This window comes from Homo sapiens, chromosome 17 (genome assembly GCF_000001405.40).
Source record: "Homo sapiens chromosome 17, GRCh38.p14 Primary Assembly".
NCBI classification, from domain to species: Eukaryota; Metazoa; Chordata; class Mammalia; order Primates; family Hominidae; genus Homo; species Homo sapiens.
The window spans coordinates 79,019,209-79,041,155 of record NC_000017.11 but is presented as its reverse complement, the minus strand read 5'-3'; the positions used below and the strand labels follow the sequence as shown (position 1 = coordinate 79,041,155).

The 21,947-nt window shown below is 51.9% G+C and overlaps 1 protein-coding gene and 1 long non-coding RNA gene across 13 annotated transcripts in view, besides 1 other annotated feature; one reads left to right on the top strand and one right to left on the bottom strand.

The window, feature by feature from the left end:
* C1QTNF1 (C1q and TNF related 1) overlaps positions 1–18,222 on the bottom strand; it is a 26,855-nt gene extending 8,633 nt beyond the window's left edge. For 2 of the 11 annotated variants that reach the window (NM_030968.5, NM_198594.4), the window contains exon 1: positions 16,662–16,987. Coding sequence is in view for 4 of the 11 variants with exons in the window: in XM_006721664.2 (XP_006721727.1) it covers positions 15,221–15,332; positions 15,911–15,931 (133 nt within the window). In the remaining 7 variants the exon portion in view is untranslated. Of the gene's footprint in view, positions 1–6,622; positions 6,858–15,220; positions 15,714–15,910; positions 16,295–16,661; positions 16,988–18,067 lie in introns of those variants that run through there. The other 9 variants (XM_047435297.1, XM_047435296.1, XM_006721664.2 and 6 more) reach the window with 9 other exon arrangements.
* C1QTNF1-AS1 (C1QTNF1 antisense RNA 1) lies at positions 13,501–21,947 on the top strand. 2 transcript variants are annotated; one of them, NR_040019.1, is made up of 3 exons: positions 13,501–13,780; positions 20,920–21,150; positions 21,540–21,947. It is a non-coding gene; the product is annotated as a C1QTNF1 antisense RNA 1 (long non-coding RNA). The 2 variants fall into 2 exon arrangements; NR_040018.1 differs by having other exon boundaries at positions 20,920–21,197.
* Positions 16,566–16,655: a silencer, noted in NCBI's record as "silent region_9078". NCBI's record gives its function as "represses an Ori minimal core promoter by ATAC-STARR-seq in GM12878 lymphoblastoid cells {active_cell/tissue: GM12878}" and the evidence as "EXISTENCE:reporter gene assay evidence [ECO:0000049][PMID:35858748]".

The following is a 21,947-nucleotide window of genomic DNA, read 5'->3' as shown; positions in this document are numbered from 1 at the left end:
ATCTCTGATACCTCCCACCACTTGCCAAAAAAAGGGTGTATGTGCACATGGTAATTTATAAAATACACATCTAAGTTCTCTCTCCAGCTATCCGTCTAGTTAGGTTTGAGAACATTTCCTCATTAATAATTTTTATCCCATCACGGATGGCCCCACAATCCTCTAGGGAGACAATATACATTCATGACTGTAGCAGATATGTAAATGAGAAAACAGAGACTTGGAGAAGCTAATTAGCCTAAAATTCTGATTTTTTTTTTTGACAGGATCTCACTCTGTGAGTGAGTGCAGTGGTGCAATCTCGGCTCACTGCAGCCTCTGCCTCCTGGACTTGAGCCATCCTCCCACCTCAGCCTCACAAGTAGAAGGGACTGCAGGTATGCACTACCACACCCAGCTAATTTTTTTTTTTTTTTTTTTTTTTTGTAGAGACAAATTTTCACCATGTTGCCCAGGCTGGTCTCAAACTCCCGGGCTCAAGTGATCTGCCCACCTCAGCCTCCCAAAGTGCTGGGATTACAGGCGTGATCCTCCACGCCGGGCCAAGACTGATTTTTGAGCAGGGGGGCTGCATTTGGACTCAGACAGGCTGACAACAGATGACAATAAAATCCTGCCCGCCTTGTCTTCAACACCCAACTCAAGGTCTCATAGTCTTCCTGAAGCCTTCCCAGGCCCCTCAACTGGGAAAAATTCTCCATCCTCGGTCTTAGTTTTCTTTTTTGATACAGGGTCTCACTCTGCCTCCCTGTAGCCTCAACCCTCCCGGCTCAGGCCATCTGCCCACCTCAACCTCTCAAGCAGCTGGGACTACAGGCATGCGCCACCACGCCCAGCTAAATTTTTTTGTTGTTTTTTCGTAAAGACACGGTTTCACCGTGTTTCCCCGGCTCGTCTCAAACTCCTGAGCTCAAGCAATTCACCTGCCTTGGCCTCCCAAAGTACTGGGATTATAGGTGGGCGCCATAATTTTATTTTTCCTATTGTCTCCTACTGCAGAGAGTTTGTCTAGCCTATGAGAGTCTACTCAGCAGACCGTGGGTGACCTCCTCCAGGGCTGGGACGTCCCCTAGCCAAGCATCCTGCAGCACCCTGAATCACTGGTGCTCAGCAAATATTTGTCAGACTGAATTCTCTAAATTTGTTTATTTCTCCATTTCTGTATTTCCTCTGTTTCTCCTTGGTGCCTTAATAATTATTCTGTTTTTTCCTTTTAAGTGGCAAACTTGTACCAGTTAAAAGGAAAAGAGATTTTCCTTTCTTTAAATATTTTTTTCCTGAATCCCAAATTTTATATATACACATACACATGTTTACATATATATACATATATACATATTTACATATATATATATATACACACACACACACATATTTATTTAAGAGAGGTTGGAAAGTAACTACAAAACGCATTAAAAAGCTACCTTGGATTATTCTACTCTGTGGTTTCTCAACCCTGGCACCATTGAAGGATTGCTGGGTTTTTTTGTTTTATTTTATTTTGAGACAGAGTCTCGCTCTGTCACCCAGGCTGGAGTGAAGTGGCGCGATCTTGGCTCACTGCAACCTCCGCCTCCCAGGTTCAAGTTATTCTCCTGCCTCAGTCTCCCTAGTAACTGAGATTATATGCGTGTGCCTCCACACCCGGCTAATTTTTGTATTTTTAGTAGAGACAGGGTTTCGCCATGTTGGCCAGGCTGGTCTTGAACTACTCCTGACCTCAGGTGATCCATCTGCCTCGGCCTCCCAAAGTGCTGGGATTACGGGCGTTTGCCACCGCGCCAGCCAACCCTGGCACCATTGAGGTTTGGGCCTAGATAATCCCCTGTGGTGGGGGGCTAGCCTGTGTGCTGTAGGATGCTTAGCAGTAACCCTGGACTGTCCCCACCAGATGCCATTAGCACCACTACCTCTAGTTATGACAACAAAAAATGTCTCCAAACATGGTAATATGCCTGTTCCTCAGGGGCAAAATTGCCCCTAGCTAAGCACCAGCATTTGTTTTTATGTTGGTCTATCTCTTTCTAGTCTAGCAAAGGGATTTTCCACACCTTGGTCAGAAGAGACGGGGTCCAGGATGCAGCTGGGTTAGGAACGATGCTGTCACTGGGGTGGGGTGGGGCTGGGAAACCCCAGCAGAGAGCCCCAGGCTCAGGCTGGTAGGGACAAGGCCACTTTGGCGGTGGTGGCTCTCCTCAAAAGCCTGCTGTTCGGAGTCAGAGCAAACCCAGGTTGAAATCTTTCCTTCCTGAAAAGATCTTAAGAAGCATTTTACCAAATCCCACAGCAAAGCCAGCGTCATAACATGATGATCATTTTAGTCACTTTTGGGCAAAGACAGTATTGCCCAACATCTAACCAAACTTGGCTCCAGATCACTGTTAGTGATTTCCAGCAAAAATCCCCCTACAGTAGGGAGGCTGTGTCCCAGCAAGGTTATCTGGAAGAATGTGTTAGGCAGTTCCAGGGAAGTGCCCTGAGCACATCTTGGCCAGTGACGTGAAACCTGTGTGAATCCAGATCCACGTGGCCCAGTCTCCAGGCCTCATCGCAGGCAAGGCAACTGAAGACAGTTCCAGCATGACTCAAGCTCTTTACTTGCCTTTCCCAAATCCTGCAAATATGAGCCAATTTCCATGGTAATTCGGCGACCATTTTCCTTCCCTCCATGTCCCTGAGGACTAGCCGCTCTTCAGCGTCCCTTCCTCAACCCCACATCATCCACCTACACCTGACCTTCTCCCCAACAAGAACACATCCCCCTTTACAGGAGGAGGGAGGCCAGAAAAGAGAAACCAGGCTACACGCAGGACGTAGAGGAGGACAGGAAGCCTGAGGACACATCCTTGTGAATAATTTGTATCCCGGCCGGGCGCGGTGGCTCACGCCTGTAATCCCAACACTTTGGGAGGCCAAGGCAGGTGGATCACCTGAGGTCAGGAGTTCAAGACCAGCCTGGCCAACATGGTGAAACCCCATCTCTACTAAAAATACAAAAATTAGCTGGGCGTGGTGGGGTGCACCTGTAGTCCCAGCTACTCGGGAGGCTGAGGCAGGAGAATTGCTTGAACTCAGGAGGCAGAGGTTGTGGTGAGCCAAGATCGCGCCACTGCACTCCAGCCTGAGCAACAGAGTGAGACTCCGTCTCAAAAAAAAAAAGAAAAAGAAAAAAATTGTATCCCTTGTTTGCTTGTGGTGGCTCACACCTGTCATCCCAGCACTTTGGGAGGCCAAGGTGGGTAGATTGCTTGAGCCTAGGAATTCAAGACCATCCTGGACAACATGGTGAAGCCCCATCTCTACCAAAAACACAAAAATTAGCCAGGCATGGTGGTGTTCGCCTGTAGTCCCAGCAGCTGCTCAAGAGACTGAGGTAGGAGGATCACCTGAGTCCAGGAAGTCAAGGCTGCAGTAAGCCATGATCGCACCACTGCACTCTAGCCTGGGTGACAGAGTGAGACCCTGTGGTAATAATAATAATAATAATTTTTATCCCTCCACAGGCCTCTTAGCTCTGTGGTAGGTCCTTTAAGGAGAGAGTAGTCACATGCAAGTTCACCATTCCTTATATTTGTTTCAAATTGGGCCTTTTGGCTGGGCGCAGTGGCTCACGCCTGTAATCCCAGCACTTTAGGAGGCCGAGGAGGGTGGATCACTTGAAGTCAGGGGTTCGAGACCAGCCTGGCCAACATGGCAAATCCCTGTCTCTAGTAAAAATACCAAAATTGGCCGGGCACAGTGGCTCACACCTGTAATCCCAGCACTTTGGGAGGCCGAGGCGGGTGGATCACGAGGTCGGGAGATTGGAGACCATCCTAGCCAACATGGTGAAACCCTGGCTCTACTAAAAATACAAAAATTAGCTGGGCGTGGTGGCACGTGCCTGTAATCCCAGCTACTTGGGAGGCTGAGGCAGGAGAATCGCTTGAACCAGGGAGTCGGAGGTTGTGCTAAGCCGAGATCATGCCACTGCACTCCAGCCTGGCGACAGAGCGAGACTCCATCTCAAAAAAACAAAAACAAAAACAAAAAAATAGCTGGGCATGGTGAATAAATAAACAAATAAGTGGGTCCTGTTATATTTTTGTTTCACCTCCGTGCTCTCATGCTTGTGTGCTGACAGCGGACCTCTGAAGCTCTGGGACTATGTGCCTGGGTTTTGTCCTTATGCTCCACCCAGCGCAGGGCCTTTTGACAAAAGCATTCTGTAAACACTGTTTTCCTTTTTCTTTAATCCTCATCAGGTGAGCAGCTGTTCTGAGAGGCAAGAAGCCTATAATCTCCTTGAATTGGAAGGAGCCTTGGCAGACATGTCCAAGCTGCCCTCTCAGCTGACCATCTAACACAGGCTGGGTTTACTGAATGCCCATGATTTGCATGGCATTGTGCAAGAGCTTGGGAGGAAGTGATTCAACCAGGAATTAAATCTATTCCCTGACCTCAAGAATATAACAGGCTAGTGAAGGAAACAGACACGTACCCAATTATAGCTCAAGACAGAACAACACATGTTGAATTAAAATGCTAAGTGGGTAACATTCTAGAACTGTGCTGTCCGGTACAGTGGCTGTTATGTGTGGCTATTTAAATTTAAATTAATTAAAATGAAAGAAAATTCAAAATTCAGTTCTTCAGCTACACTAGCCGCATTTCAAGCATTCAATAACTATTAATACATGTAGGCTGGGCACAGTGGTTCATGTCTGTAATCTCAGCACCTTGGGAGGCCAAGGTGGGAGGATCGCCTGAGCCCAGGAGTTCAAGACCAGCCCGGGCAATATATCGAGACCCCATCTCTACAAAAAATGCAAAGATTAGCCAGGCATGGTAGTGTGCACCTGTAGTCCCAGCTACTCTGGAGGCTGAGGCAAGAGGACTGGTTGATCTCAGGGGGTTGAGGCTGCAGTGAGCCACGACTGCACCACTGCGCCCTAGCCTGGGCAACAGGGCAAGACCCTCTCTCAAAACATAAAAATAAAAAGCCACATGTAGCTAGTGGTTACCATGTTGGAAAGTATAGAATAGAACATTTCAATCATTGCAGAAAGTTTTGTTGGACAGCTCTGTTCTAGATTAAAATGAAGTCATCAAGGAGGAAGAGTAACTGTGAACAAACAGCAGGCCAGAAATCTGAGAGGCGTTTAGACCCTTTCCTCTCATGCATCCGCATCTCATCCATCCCCAGCCTGCTTGAATAGATCCTAAAGGTCAACTCTCCCTCCTGCCCTGTGCCTGTATCAGATGCCCTCCAGGGGCTCCGCTGTCCCCCAGACCTCAGTCCACCCAAGACAAGCATCTTCGTCTGCCTTTTCCAGGGTCTAGACATTGCCCCCGCCCCCAGTTTACATTCATCTCCCAAGGAAACTTGGCATAAGATAGGACTTTATCCCACATCTAGTGGTGTCCAGTTCAAGAATTGGATTCAGGCCAGGTATGGTGGCTCACGCCTATAATCCCAGCACTTTGGGAGGCTGAGGTGGGCAGATCACTTGAGGCCAAGAGCTCGAGGCCAGCCTGGCCAACATGGTAAAACCCTGTCTCTACTAAAAATACAAAAATTAGCTGGGTGCAGTGGTGTGTGTCTGTAATCCCAGCTACTCAGGAGGCTAAGACAGGAGAATCGCTTGAACCCAGGAGGCAGAGGTTGCAGTGAGCTGAGATCGCATCACTGCACTCCAACCTGTGCAACAAAGTGAGACTGTCTCAAAAAAAAAAAAAAATACGATTCAGCCCAGAACTCAAACACTCCTGGTTTCTACACAGCCTCAACGGCCCCTTAGCCATCACCACCCCTTCGTGCCATCCCCTCCAGCCACCTTTGGAACATCCCCAGAATCCTCCCAACCAGAAGAGAAGCCCTGAGTCCACTCCCCCTCGGCTCTGACGTCTGGTAGAATTCTCCTGTTGAGAAGCTTAGAGCTCTCCTGTTGCTGCAAGAGGATTCAGGTACTGGGGTGCCAAGAAAGAGGAAGGTGCCACGTTGGGGTGTCCTTCTGACAGGTGACATCTGCTCATAGCCCTTTCCTCCCTGCCAGAAGCCATTCATTCATCACACTAATTGCCCAATGACCAAACTCCTCCGGTGATGGGCAGGAGGCGGGCAGAGTGGCTCCCATTTGATGAGTGATGTGTGTTTACCTCTTCTAGAAGCCCATTTAATAGCTAATATTCCCTGCTCTAACTGCACTGCCCCCACTGGTCTCAGACTCTCCCTCTTTCCCTCAACCTCGTGGTGGATGGGGGTCCCTTATGGAAGGAATTCTCGCCAGATGGAGCCGAGCAGCCCCTTTTCCTGAGAGATGCTGGGGTCCTGGAGCCTATCTCCTCTCTCAATCTCCCTCTCTCCTGTTTCCAAAAAGCTGCCCTCTGTCTTGCAGAAGGAGGGTTTGTTTTTAAGGCTTAGGTGTTTATTTGGTTACTTCCAAAGCCCAAGTCCAGGGATGAATACAGACTCTTCCAGGGTTACTTGCTACTTAATTAGCAACGGTTTCCTCTTCCCTGGAGGGGAATGAGGTCTGGCTTGGGACAAAAAAGTGAAGCGAAGATAGGCCAAGAATTCTCCCATCCTAAAGCATCTCCCTCCCATCTTGGAGCAACTGCACCTTCACCAGGAAGGACTCACCTGGAGCGAAGAGTGGGACTCAGTGTAAATTTTTGCCCAGGCCCTGCAAACAAGGAGGCCGCATGAGCCGTCAGGCATCGGGCCTTCGGGGCGCTTGGCCAGCCCAGCCTCCAGAGCTCCGATTCCGTCCCAGTGGAAACAAAGATTTCCTTGAGTAGAGCAGCTGTCCTCAGCTCACCTCCCAGCTGGAAGGCCTCGGGCGGCAGGCTTGCCCCTGCTTTGAGAACCGTGTGAGAGAGAAGAGGCACCAACAGCTGTCCTGAGCCCACTCTGCAGGTGGCCTGGCCCGCCGCCCACTTCCCTAGCACCAGCAGCGGGGACGCCCTCGGGGACCGACCGCTCCCAAAACAGAGGGAGGAAAGAACCTGGGAATTCTATGGCCTGGTGCCCCGTCGCACCCAGCCCTTTACAAGCAGCACAAACGTATTTGGTTGTCTGGGGCCTGGACAAGCCCCAGCATTTTCCAGGCAGCTCCTGAGGAAGCCTGGCATAAGACAGGGCTTTATCCCCAGCCTGGGGCTTCTAGGTCAGGAATATAATCAGCACAGCATCCCACTGGCCCTCCTCCTGCTGGCCCCGCCCCGACTGCTTGGCTACGATCACCCACGACCCTCGTGGCACCCAACACCCTTCTGCATTCCTCTTTCGTGCGCACTGTAAGCATCTGCCAATGTCGACTGCCCTCTTCTTCAGCCATGGGGTTTGGCCCACACTGTCTCCCAGTGTTTAGCCTTCCTGATCAACCCCCAAAGACAGGTGCTCTCCCAGGCTGTTCCTCAGCTCTCAGCTCCTCTTGCTCCTAATTCTACATTTATTTATTTATTTATTTAGGAGACAGGGTCTCCTGTCACCCAGGCTGGAGTGCAGTGGTACAGTCATGGCTCACTGCAGCTTCAAACCCTTGGACCCAAGTGATCCTCCCATCTCAGCCTCCCGGGTAGCTGGAACTACAAGCACATGCCACCACATCCAGCTAATTAAAAAAAAAAATTTTTTTTTTTTAGAGACAGGATCTCACTATGTTTCCCAGGCTGGTCTCAAGCAATCCTCCAGCCTTGGCCTCCCAAAGCGGGTAGGATTATCAGCGTGAAGCCACCGTGCCTGACCTCTTTCTGCCTGTCCTGGTCCACACCACATCTTCAGCTGACAATGCCCCATTCCATGTCCCCACCACTGACCTGGCTGCTGAGACCTGGGCTTGCAAATGTTTAAGTCAGTACAGTGGCTACGAGCCACATGGAGCTATGTCAGTTAAACAAAATGAAACATCCAGTTCTCGGCCAAGGAGCCACATTTTAAGTGCTCACGTGACTAGCAGCTGCCATACTAGACAGCACAGCTCTTAGCACCTTGCACCACAGCTGAAGGTTCTGCTGGGCAGCGCTGGTCTAGACCCACATATGCAATCATCTGCTGAACACCTCCTCTTTGCTCTGCGCTAAGACTTTTTTTTTTTTTTTTTTTTGAGACAGAGTTTTGCTCTTGTCACCCAGGCAGGAGTACAATGGTACAATCTTGGCTCGCTGCAACCTCCGCCTCCTGGGTTCAAGCAATTCTCCTGCCTCAGCCTCCAAAGTAGCTGGGATTACAGGTGCCCACCACCACGCCCAGCTAATTTTTGTATTTTTAGTAGAGATGGGGTTTTGCCATGTTTGTCAGGCTGGTCTCGAACTCCTAACCTCAAAGCGATCCACCCGCCTCGGCCTCCTAAAGTGCTGGGATTACAGGTGTGAGCCACCGCACCAGGCTGCTCTGCCCTAAGGCTTTTAAGCCCCCAATTAACTCATATCCTTCTCCCCCGTCCTTACCACATTAGCTTCTCCTCCTGTGGCTTGCAGCTTGGTGAAAGCTATGCATGCCATCACGCGGGGTCCCGGGCCAGAAGCCTGCAAGCCACTTGGATGCCACCTTCCTTGCACCCGCCACATCTCATCCATCGCCAGCCCCCTGCAGGTCTCCTCTCCTCTCCATCACTTCTTCCCCAGCCCTGGCTGGTTTTCTGCCTCCCATCTGTCTCCCACGCTGCTTCCAGAGGCAGCTCTGAAAAACGCAAATCTGAATGCCACCCCTGGCTCCAAGGGCTTCCTATGCCAGTAAAGGAGGGAGTAAGCCCTGAGCGTTTCCATCTGGCCCTTCCCCACCCCGCGTGAGTCCCTTTCAGTCCAGCTCCCTGGAGCTACTCAGTCCCTAACAGATCACACTTGAGGTCTCGTCCTCTGGCACCCGCTCTTTCCTCTGTCTGGATGCCTGTTTCTCCTCCACCTTCTCCATCCGTGTATTCTCCAGAGCTCAGCCTGAGGCCACCTCCTCCGGGAAGTTGCCCAGACCTGGGTGTGCTGTAGGTGCCCCTCCCCCAGCATCCGGACGAACCGGTCTACAGTCCTTGGTTTCCTCGTCCTGTCCCCAAGACTCCAAGCCCCTGGGAAATGGGAGCCCCATCTCATTTCTCAGGCATCACCAGCATCCGGTGTCTAACTCTCAACAGGGCTCCAATGCTCTCCTCACCTTCAATCAATCCCAAGTACAGAGCCATCGTCCAAAGATGACATGCCTCAGCCACAAGCCTGTCCAAATCTCTCTCTAATTCCAGCTGGGGACACAGAGATCCAAGGTACATCACTGTCACCAGAGTGCTGACTCCTGGTGTGGCCATGTAGCCATCTTCCCTAGAAACGCTCCTCTTATCTGCACTCAGAAAGTCTATTGCTTCAAAGAGATGAAACCACTGCCTCCATTCACCAAGGTTACAAACCACCTACATGTCCAGGAAGACAGTCTAATGAAATACATGGCTGGGTGCAGTGGCTCACGCCTGTAATCCCAGCACTTTGGGAGGCTGAGGCAGGCAGATCACCTGAGGTCAGGAGTTCAAGACCAGCCTGGCCGACATGGTGAAACTTTGTCTCTACTAAAAATACAAAATTTAGCCAGGCATGGCACATGCCTGTAATCCCAGCTACTCGGGAGGCTGAGGCAGGAGAATTGCTTGAACCTGGGAGGCGAGGATGCAGTGAGGTGAAATAGCACCACTGCACTCCAGCCTGGGTGACAGAGTGAAACTCCATCTCAAAAAAAGAAAACAAAAAATTTACAGTGCATCCATCCATATGATGGAAACTAGAAAAACAAGGTGGTTGATGAGAGTGGTGAAATCAGCAATAGGGAGGGATGGGGATTGTGGTAAACCAGTAAACGCGTTCTTTCTAAAGACATTTAAAGAAATAATATGGGCTGGGCACGGTGGCTCACGCCTGTAATCCCATCACTTTGGGAGGCCGAGGCAGGCAGATCACGAGGTCAGGAGATGGAGACCATCCTGGCTAACATGGTGAAACCCCGTCTCTACTAAAAATACAAAAAATTAGCCGGGCGTGGTGGCAGACACCTGTAGTCCCAGCTACTTGGGAGGCTGAGGCAGGAGAATGGCATGAACCTGTCAGGTGGAGCTTGCAGTGAGCCAAGATCATGCCACTGCACTCCAGCCTGGGCGACAGTGCAAGACTCCATCTCAAAAAAAAAAAAAAAGAAAAGAAAAGAAATAATATGGAGGGACTGGGGAGCAGAATCAGCCAGCAGCACCAGTTAGGCGTCTCTGTAAATAGGTGAATATTTACTGACATGGAAAGATGTTTGGGCCGGGCACAGTAGCTCACGCCTGTAATCCCAGCACTCTGGGAGGCCGAGGCAGGCGGATCGCTTGAGGTCAGGAGTTCAATATCATCCTGACCAACATGGTAAAACCCCGTCTCTACTAAAAAGTACAAAAATTAGCTGGGTGTGGTGGCGTGTGCCTAAAATCCCAGCTAGTCGGAAGGCTGAGGCAGGAGAATCGCTTGAACCCAGGAGATGGAGATTGCAGTGAGCTGAGATCACGCCACTGCCCTCCAGCCCGGACAACATAGCAAGACTCTGTCTCAAAAAAGAAAAAGAAAAGAAAAGAAAAAGAAAGGAAGGAAGGAAAAGAGAGAGAGAAAGAGAGGAAAGAAAGAAAAAGAAAGAAAGAAGAAAGAAAGAAAGAAAGAAAGAAAGAAAGAAAGAAAGAAAGAAAAAGAAAGAAAGAAAGAAAGAAAGAAAAGAAAGAAAGAAGAAAGAGAGAGAAAGTTTGTAAAGCAGTAATGAGTTTTGAAAATGCAGAATGAAAACATGCAGACCCAAACACACGCACATACAGGCACACACATACACATACACACACACACACACACACACACACAAAACCACAAAGACCCAAAGGCCACCCACCAGGCTGCCAACAGCAATTATCTGCGGTGATGAAAATACAGATGCTTACCATTTTCTTATTTTGGCCTCTCTGTTTCTTTCCCCTGTAACAGTCACGTCCTTTTTCACAGTAAGTACACATTATTTTCCACTAGAAAAATGACAAATAAGCCCCACCCTGGGGACTAAGGGAGCATTTTGTTTATTCCAGGAAACTCGACTAGATGCATAGAAGAGTAGGATGGGGAGAAAAGAGAGCTTGTTATATTGCATCGTTTGAGGCTCAAGCGGAACCACGGGGAATACAAGTTGACCTAGTGCTGAAGTCTCACGCTCTTTTGCTCATTTGTTCAACAGGTGTTTATTGAGTGTCTACTACCTACCCAGCAGGGAGCTGGATTCTTGGGACGAACGGAACAAGATGCCCTTTCCCTTGGGCAGTAGAGTCCCTGGCAGCTATGGTATGGGATGTGTTAGGACCAGGAACAGCACAGGTGGTAGGGAGCCCAGCAGGGTGGCACTTCATCCAGGCTGGAATTAGGCGAGCCAGAGAGAACCCGTTTCCTAGCAGTGAGGGGCTTTGTTCGTCTTTGGCCCTTGCTGTTGAAGGAGGCTGCCTGAGTAGGGCCGGTGGCCTGCAGCCGTGAAACAGAAGGAAACGGAGCCCCGTCCTGCAGCCCATCCTGTGCGTGATGTGCAATGGCCAGCATGTTCCTGGACCCAGGAGTAGCCCAATGTTTATCAGAGATTCCTTCTGACAAAGCCCCGCTACCCCTGAAAAGCCACCACTGAGAGCCAGACTCTGGCCATGGTGCCTTCCCTACACCACTGAGCTTGATCCTTAGAAAGCTTGATCCTTAGAATGCCTAATCCTTAGAATACCTGATCCTTAGAATGCGCAAACAGCCTCAGAGCGATGGAGCCGCTTGCCCCAGGTTCCACAGTGGGGAGGTGCTGGAGCTCAGATTAGACCTAGGTGTGTCCGACAGCAAAGCACATTACACTTCACCCCGAGGGGTGGCCAGAAAGATGCCAGAGAGCATAGGCTCCTCCTCCTCCCAAGCCATGGTGCAGCGACCGTTCCCGCCCACTGGGCTCAGGGTTACGGTGCCCACCAATTTGCTTACTTGTTTATAGGTGGAACCGCTGCAGCAGCCTTTGGCTTCGAGGACTGTATCCAGCAGCTGAGCCCTTGCATTCATCATTCAACAGAGGATTACCGAGTGCCCACTACATGCCAGGTATGGTATGGGGTACCAGGGAAACCTGTAACCATCTTCCTTGATGCAATGTGCTAAGATATCCCTGGTGCCAGCCTGCTAGCATCTTAAAATACACCACCGGAGTTTAATTCCTTTGGATTTAGGCACAGGATCACCAGGAACACCCGCGCGTGCATGCACACACACACACACACACACACACACACCTTAAAATGTGAGGGGCTTGGGCAGTGTGGCCCATCGGATGTGCATTTTTAGGGCACTGCTTTTGTAGGGTGAAGAGACACCAGCATGCTGGCAAGCTCTGAAGAAGGGAGGAAAAGACCCATGTGCTGGGGTACAGATGATTTTTCTCTCCCGACCAGTGCCCTCTAATGGGCACAAGCAGACCTGAGCTCTGAGTTGCAAAGGAATCTAAGTTCACGCACCACACGGGGAGGACCCTCAGGACCATGGGCCTTGCCCTCATTGATATCCTTTCATGGAGGAGGGGGCTCCCCTGAATGCCAGAGGACGCAAGAGACCTGTGGTCACCCCCTAACCCACCCAGATCCTTCCATCTCTCACTTTAGATTCTTTACAAGGAGAATGGGTCTAAGCGTTTTCTGAACACACCTCTGTCCCCAGCTCTGAAGACTGGCCCCAGGAACCTGTGGGCAGAGTCAGGGGGCCCTGCCCGCCTTCTGACCTACATCTGCCTCGAACCCACCCAGGGCTGGCAGCTTTCCCAGCAGCTTCCCTGCTCCCCAGGGCAGAGGGTGGCTGTTATCCAGATGTCTTGCTGAGGGGGATGGGTACAACCCAAAGCATAGGGTTTGGGGCATTCCACCAAGTGTGGCTTTAGCCGTGGCCAAGAACAACATTTGACCCAGCACAGGGCACCAAGAACTTGACTTCCCCATGCCCCGCCTGCCTGTCTGCCTCTTCTCCTCCTCCCCTCGACTCCTGCCTCCCTGCCTGCCGTCTCCTGCTCTACTCTGTCTCGTGTCAAGGAAAATTCCTACAGGAGCCAGGGAGATGGGCAGACACCGGCCCGGCCACAGCCGTCCCGACGGCCGTCCTGGACAGGATGGGGGCCCGGGGAGGGGCCTGCAGTCTGTGCCAGCCCCATCTGAAGCTGGAGAACGGCTTAGATCCAGGGGGCCTCAGAGGCAAGATAGCAGTGCCCTGGTGTACAGTGGGGACTGTGGGGGTCCCCGTGCCCCTGCTGGAGACCATCCCCCTTTGAACCACATTCAGATGCCAAGCCCAGCTCTGGAAATCAAATGTAGGCAAGAACAGGCAGCTGGAGGGGTGCTGATTTGCCAAGAGCCACTCATATCACCCCAGCACAAGTGTCACACAGCCGTGACCTTGACAAGGACCCAGAGATAAAGATCCTTCCCACATGGCTCCGAAGCCCCTCCCTTCCTGCTCACACCGCATGCCTCTCCCAGAGAACTAGAGGCTGCAGCGGCAGCAGTTGGAGCATCTCACTGCGGGGCTCGGGAAGGAGGAAAGGAGTGAGCATGTCCTGCTCCTGCATGTCCCTGCTTAAGCTCAGGACTGGCCCTTCCAGGCCAAGGACCCCAGCATAGACCCCAGGACAGGGCCCCAAGGATCCCTGGCTCATGAGAGCGGCTTGCTGGGCTGCCCCAAGAGAGCCTGAAGGAAACACATTGTTGAGCTGAGCTGACGTCGCTGTTTCTTCCAGACTGCTCTCTAAAGTGGGCAGGTGAGTTCTTGCCCTGTATGAAGGGGTCAGGGAGATGGCAGGGTCCTGTCCAGAGAGCTGCCTTGTGCCATTTGACACCAGCAGGCCAATTTCAGCAGGTTAACAGGGGAAATGGCAACCTGTGGCCCATGAGGGAGTGCCCCCACTTGAACATCTCTAGAGGCTACTGATTGTCAGGCAGAGGTGGGATCGTCCAGGGGATGGTGTAACCTGCTACTTCTTCCTGCCCTTCCTGGTGTCCGTCACCCCCACCCCTTCCCTAAGGTTCTGGAGCCTCAGCCACAGCCCCCCCCCGCCCAGGAACAGGGACCCCTGAGGACAAGACACAAATGGGAAGCTCCAGTCCCTGCGCACAACTGTATCTATGAAATTCTTTTCATCTTTGTTTTGATGAGCAAAGTTCAATGCCAGAATATTTGGTTTATGAGTCATGCTAATTACAGCTGGGGGGAGGCACCAGGAAGAAGAACAGAAAGGAGCATGTTCCAAAAACACTCTGTTGTCCTGGTTGCCCTGAAAAGGGGGGTCACTTCCTAGGAACAAGGAGGGAACCCATGGCCTTCCTGGGACAGCTTGGGCTTTCTCTGCTCCTACTTGGGAGGACGTCCCTCGCCAGCTGGCTGCACCTGCCTGGGAGGGGCAGTGGTGTCCTGTAGCCGCACAGCGCCCACCTAGGGCTTCCTGCACCATGCTTCCTGCCTCCCTGAATGAGCTCACTGGGGACACCACCCTTGGCAACACAAGAGGAGGAGAGGGAGGCGGGAGGAGAAGTAGAGAGTCCCTGGGTAGCGGACCTGTGTCCTTCCTGCCCCTGGGCATTCTCTGTTAGCAGCTGGGAGAGAGAAGTTCCCAGCATCAGCTTGGCGAGCTGAGTGCCATGTTCCCAACACCAGATAGGAAGGTTAAAAGTATACGCCCCGGAGGCCAGGCGCGGTGGCTCACCCCTGTAATCCCAGCACTTTGGAAGGTTGAAGCGGGTGGATCACTTGAGGTCAAGAGTTTGAGACCAGCCTGACCAACAGGGTGAAACCCAGTCTCTACTAAAAATACAAAATTAGCCAGGCGTGGTGGTACACACCTCTAATCCAGCTACTTGGGAGGCTGAGGCAGGAGAATCGCTTGAACCTGGGAGGTGGAGGTTGCAGTGAGCCGAGATTTGGCCTTGCACTCCAGCCTGGATGACAAAAGCGAAACTCTGTCTCAAAAAAAAAAAGAAGCATATGACGCACTTGGGATAAAGACACAGATTGGAGTCTTGAGTCCTCCATCCCTGTCTCTGAGACCTCAAGCAAGCCGTGAGCCTCTTGAGCTTTGCAGCTCTGCTCTTTCCACAAGTGAGAGTTCCCTTGATAGAAGTGTTGAGAATTAACTATTATAATAATTATTATAATTATTAATATAATGTTGAGCGCCTGCCATGTGAGAAGCAGACACACAAACCTGTGGCTGACATCATGATGATGATGATGATGGTGATGATGATGATGATGGTGATGATGATTGCCACTGTTGTTGTTGGGTGGACTCTAGGGGCCTCTCCAGCTCTGCAGCTCTAAGAGGGAGGGTGGGGAAGCTTCTGCTTGTCCTCAGACCTCGGCTCCCATCTCCCTGTCTTGGTTCCCTCCTCCCCGGTTGGCAGGTGCTGGAGAGGCCTCCTGGAGCACGTCCTCCCATGTCCTCCCGCTCCCTGCAGCACACACCACAGCCAAGTGCGTCTATCTGTGGCTGTTCATGGCTGCACGGCCTGCCAGGGAGTGTGTACTTTCCTGCACTATAAAAAGCAGAGGCCGGGCAGCCTGTAAGGACATCACATGCTCCCCTGGGGCTGTGAAGTGGCCAGCGGTGGAGAAAACAGTTTCTCACGGCATTTCTCATGTTCAAAGCTCAGGACCAGAAAGCTCCCAGCACGTCATGTTGCCTCCTTTCCTAGAAACTAGGTGGGGTAGAAGAGTCAGGAACACCTCACAGAGGGGGGCGGCTTCCTCCCTCCCTCCCAAGCAGGGATGAGTCGGCCCAAGGGTGCCTGAAGCACGCGGAGGGTCCAGAGAAGATAATCTGGCTTTCTGGGGCTGGAAGAGTGTGGCCCGGGTATTGGCCCCGCGAGGCCCGGGCTAACAGTGGGGACCACACCTGCACCGGTGGAGAAGCCATGGAGGGCTGGGTGGTGGGCGGTGGGTCCACCTGCGAGGTCCAGAAGCCCCAGGGCGGCTCAGAGGCTCCAGCCCCAGGCCGGGGGGGCCACTCCCAGCGGCACAGGCAGCTTCGCTTCCCAGGAGGGCCCCGGGGAAGCAACACCGTTTTTTCCTGCCCAAGCTGGACCCCCTCCAGGACACCAAGGCTGTCAGATGCGGGGGGCCAAAGTCAGCGCTTCCTATTCCGTGAAGGTCCAGGTTGGCCACAGACAGGACTGGACAGACCCGGCGGTCAGGTGGTCCCAGTGATAAGGAGTGGGGTGAGGGCATCCCCGCCAGGTGCAGCCGCGGGCATTAGTACCATTCCTCTTCCTTCCACACCCTCAGAAAGGCACCAGAGAACAGTGAAACAAGATAAACACCCCACAAAAAACTAGGGGGAAGGTGCAATTCCTCCCGTTAGTATCCACGTGCAGAAAAGCCCCGCTCCTCCACAGTCAGGGAGACCCGGGACCATTATGACCCCCGCGCAAAGGCGCCTATGGCGGGGGCTGAGCCAGAGCCAGACGCCAGGGCTGCCCCCGAAAACCCGGGTCTTTCCGCCCCTGCGCCGCCACCGCCAACCGGCCCCTCCCACGGCGCTCTCCGTCCGTCCCGGCCCAGGTGTCTGCCATCCCCGCCCTGGCCACCAGGCTGAAGCCACGAGGATGGGGCGGGGCAGCGCTGGGTCCCCCGGCCCGGCCACCTACCTCCGTCCCGCCGGCCGCTCCTCCCGCGCCGCCCCTAGAGCATCTCCCGCCGGCCAAGCCTCCTCCCGGCCAGGTCCGGGGCGATGCACAGACTCGGTGAAGGAAACAGAGCAGGGGAAAAGGTCTTCCGGAGGACGGCAGTGCAGAAGAGGAGGGTGGGGGGCGGTACGAGCAGCCACAGGTCCCCCCCACCCACAGCACCTCCGTCTCCCCGGCGCGGTCTCCGAGGTCTCTGCGACCAGAAGCGGAAGCGCGGTTTCTCGAAAGTAAAGGAAGAGAGGGAGAAAGTGGGACAGACGCGCAAGGAGCGAAGCCCAGCCAGATGTGAGCAGCGAGGAGCCTCCAACACCCCCAGCGCTTTTCGTCCAAACAGCAGCCGCGGAGGATTAACCGTGTGTGCCCCGCGCCGCGCCTCAGGGAAATCCAGCGGCCGCCTCCTCCCGGCCCCCTGGGGAGCCCGCCAGGCTGAGAGTGGGGGTGGGGCAGATTCCGTGAGTCTGGAGGTCCGTCCAGAGGCGGAGGGGCTGCGAGCCCCGGACGAGAATGCCCCCCGCAGGATGGGGGTGCCCAGCAAGGCTGAGCGCTCCTAGTCACTTGGTAGCAGAGGGATGAGCCCCAAGGCCTCCGGGATCCGCTGTGGCCAACCCTGAGGGGTCAGGTCTCCAAACAGTGGCAGACCTGAGACGCCCTGTGCATTATCGGGGACTCAGACAGGTTTGGGGGAATCTGTGAACCCCCTATAACAAAATGCCAAACTGTGTGTGTGTGTGTGTGTGTGTGTGTGTGTGTGCGCGCGCGCGCATCACCTTTGGAAGGTGATGGTCCACTGTTTTGTTCAGAGTCTTGAGAGCTCTGTGATCTAAAGGTTAGGAAGGAGCCCCTGCCGGGAAGATTTCCATTTTCTAGAGAACAGCACGAGTACAGTGGTGAGCCCAGGATGGCTGGAAGCACTCCTCAGTCTCTATCAGGCCTCTCATTCCTTGATATGAAAACCTGACATTTTCTCAGTCATACACAAATATTTTTTCTGAACAAGGCCCGTAGGCTGCCCTCCCATCCTGATCCCTGATCCAGGCTGCTCCAGAGCCGGCCCTGGTTGGGACCCAGTCTCCATCCCTAGACTCTGCGTCAGCCCAGCTTGCTCTGGAAACTTACCATATCACTAGCAGGGGAAGGATTTGGCCAGAGAAGCAGAAGCCAGCTCTGATGATAACAGCATTCCCCCTTTTTTTGCTTCTTTTTTCCCCCCTCTGCCCTGTTCTCTCCGAGCTGCCCCTCACCTCGATGTTGCAGCTGGATTTTTTTGTTTTGTTATCCCTCCTGTGAGGGTCTGTCTCTGGACAAACAGGAGATGCGAAAATGGGGATGCTGGTTGGGACATTCAGAGCAAAACTAAGAGGCCTCACCTTTCCCTGCCTGGAGTGTCCTCCCATCCGCCGCACCAACAACTGGACAGATGAAAAGAATCAAAAAGGAGAGGAAGAAGAGGGTGCAAGCACAATGCCCACTGCCTTGCCCCAGGCTGGGCGAGGCCAGCACTCAGGTAGAGCTGAGGACAAATGGAGATGAGAACAGAAGGGGAGGCTTCCGGGCAGGCGAGGCGCCCAAAAGCCACTCCACAGAGGCCCTGACTGCATGCGTCAACCCCTCCTGTGAGTACAGGGAGAAAGGCTGCCAGGCCTCCAGCACCCAGGGGGAACTCAGAGGACACGATGGGGATATGAAGTCAACACTACTTAACCAACTAGAGATGCAGCCTCCGCTAGGCTTAGAAGATCAGGGGTTGCTTGTGTTCTTGGCATACGTGTCTGAGGCTTGGCAAAACCTACATCCCTGGTTGCTTATTGATACAGGAAAAGCCAGAGATAAGCTTGTCTCCATTCCTGTAAGTGACATGAGGAAGTTTCCCAGTCACCAGGAGCAAGGCTTAGCACACGGACTGACCTTTCCTTAGTTACTCTGTCCTCAAATAGCCCTTGGTGCAGGGATACCAGAGAAAACAACAGCATTTTTTGCAGCCCTTATGAGACCTTCGTCCATACTTCAGAGAATCTGGGACTTTCTAGAACTCTTACGAGCTAGGAAATCCCTCAGTGCAATGAGAAGGCTTCTTGTTGCCCTGCCTGGGAGCCTCAGACTCAGGAAAGTCGTGGGCAGATACCAGAATTCACAAAGCGGGACACACAGCTTGAAAGAGAAAGAGATGCAGATGATGGGCTGGGTGTGGTGGCTCACACCTTTAATCCCAGCACTTTGGGAGGCTGAGGCGGGAGGATCACTTGAGCCCAGGAGTTTAAAACCAGCCTGGGCAACATAGTGAGACCTTGTCTCTACAAAATATAAAACAATTAGCTGGGCTTGGCAGCACACACCTGTAATCCCAGCTACTCAGGAGGCTGAGGTGAGAGGATCCCTTGAGCCCAGGAGGTCAAGGCTGCAGTGAGCCCTAATCATGGCATTGCATTCCAGCCTGGGCAACAGAGCAAGACCCCCATCTCAAAAAAAAAAAAAAAAGTTGTGGATGATGGAATATTTATTCTTTCTCTTTACCCCATCCAAGATGGCTTTGGTGTTGAAGAACTGGAAAACAGTTATCTTTAACACAATTCCAAGACAGAACTCAGAGGCCCAATATAGTGCAAAGTTCTAGAAAGACAGCTGAAGGCTGGTCATCTCTTCCAGGTGCACCTGGCTCATCCTACTAGGAGGTCTTGTCCCGGCTCTGTCCTACCTTGAGGCAGCCTGGGGATGCTACCAAACTTCAGTGGGCCTTAGCTTCCTTATCTACAAAGCAGAGATAGGTCCAGGGTCTCTTATCTGGAACCAAGGAGGTCAGATATGTTCAGAGTCAGATGCAAATATCCCACAAAGCATCTTACCCAGTGGGCTTCGGGCAGCGCCCCTTCGTTAAACACTTGAATATTCGGCAGTGGGATGAAGGCATCCATAGTCTCAGGATAGTTCAAGCCACATTGTTCTGTCAAATTTGTGTGTGCCAACTTTAGGGAAAAACTAAGGTTTCAGATTTTTTGCATTTCAGGGATTTTGGAGAAGTGATTGTGAACCTGTAGCTTCTCACATGATTAATAAAAAGGTTGGTGGAACAGACACATTGTTCATTGCAACTACCATTATTACAAGTATAATCTTCCTTCCATCCTCTTGGGAAGAGGAGGGAAGGAGGAGATTAGAAAAGGGATTACTCATTTTCCTTGAGGCAGAAACTGGGGATAGGGAGGAGTGGTATCAAACGGTAACAAAGAGAGCCTGGGGTTTCCCAAGATCTTGTGTGAGACCCAAGGCTCGGAGGCATGGGAACTTCCAAAGAATAGGAGTTGAGGTCTGAGCACATGTCTTAGGTGCCACCATCATGGCTCACAACTCAAGGCAGCAGGCAATGGGCAAAGACTCACAAGGCCAGCTCCCAGAGAATACAAGCTTGTCCTCAATAAAGTGAAAAAAAAAATCCAAAATAGAGAGCATGCCAGGTTCCTAATGCTCTTTGTCATCAACTTCACTTCTGCTTTGTAATTTTAAGTAGGAAAGATGGAAACTTTGGCAAGCAAGGGATGTCCTTGCAGAGTGGCTGATTTTCTTCCTTCTCAGCCTTAGGTGCCCCCAAGCAACAAGAGGCAGAGTGTTTTCCCTTTGGCAAAATCCTTTCCTGTTGGGCAACAACAACAGAAATCAAAAATAAAAATCAGCCACAGTGCCTGGGGGATTTCATCAGCCCTGAGATTATGGGTCAGAAGTCAAAGCCAACTTCCAGAAAGACTGAGTCCCCTCCCCAAGGTCTCTCTCTTAGCCCCCACAAACCCATCCTAAAACTCCCTAGGAGCTCACATCTACACAAGGTGTCTGGGTCAAAACCCCTAAAGGCTTCCTGAATATTCCCAAATCATCCCATATTCTTAGTCAAGGGTAGATCCTAGAATGGGAAGAAATATTTCCTGGAACCCCTGGCAGGGAAGGCAGCACGTTCTGTGCCCTCCCTGATTTGGTAATTCTTTCTCTCTCCCTGGGCCTGTCACCACCACTCGCTGGGTCTGTTTACTTATTGCTGGAAAAAGCAATGTGATCTCAGTTAAAGTCTGCAAGACACTCGGTTCCAGATAAGCACAGCATGTCATTAGCAGCACTGTGAGTTTTCCCACCGCGGCCCTAACATCCCGCCTTTCCCAGCTATTTTGGGTCGGGCTGCCCAGTCATCCCACAAGGGCAGAGATTGGTATTGCAAACTTTGAATTCTGTTCCCAAGGGTAGCGACCGGCCGGCTCCGATGGTGACGTCCCACTGCCAAGGGGTGGGAGTGGGGAGAGTCTCCACAGAGCTTCGGAGAAGCTGCTAAGATGGAAAAGTGGAAACTTGGCAGACAGATCCAGCCTCCCTGGCCACTGGCCCATGCTCGTGGCTCCTGGATGGCGCTGCCACGTTCTGAGCAGCTTGGGACAGGTGGAGATCAGGACTGGCAGCTGCAAGGACACACCAGGTGAATAGGTTTCTTTATGGTCCTCACACCTGCAGAAAACCAGGAGGGTAAGGGCGTTCCCTCTTCCAGGAAGCCATGCCTTTCCACAGAAGTCTCCCCTGAGGCCATGTACACGTGTGCCTTGCAACTCTATCAAGCCATTTAATTTCCCTATGCCTCAGTTTCCTCACCTCTGAATATTTACTCTCCTGTTTTGGCAATGAATGTTTTCAGTTACATGGAGACAGGCATATACTGATCGACTAGGCAATATTTTACTTGATAAATAAGATGGGAGGGCCCCCTGGTGGACTCCCCAGTTCCAAGCACTTAACTATGAAATGAGTGAGTAAATGCATGTCAACATATGAATGAATGATTCAATAAAGAATGTCTTGTCCTTTATGCAGAGCCACAGAAACTAAAGAGAATTTCCAAAAGGAGTCTATGGTGAAGTCTCTGAGGATGCAAAGAAGACAAGGAGAATGAAAATCCAATGAAAGCCTGATTGTATTTGTTGACCTTAAGGAAAGTGATTTTATGGTACAGCCTCTCTGGAAGGGAGGGTGTGTTCGCTCACAGAATGCAAATACCCTTTGACCCCCTAATCTTTCTTCTAGGAGTTTCTCCTACAGATAAACTTAGAAGGGTGCTCAAATAAGTAAGTTCAAGGATATCCTCTGAAGCATTGCCGTAGTATAAAAAAAGCACAGATACCCTCAAAGGACATCATTAGGGGCCTGGTAAAATAAATTCCACACAGTGGAACACCGTGTAGCTCTTTAGAGAATAAACAGCTCTCTATATGTGATCTGGAA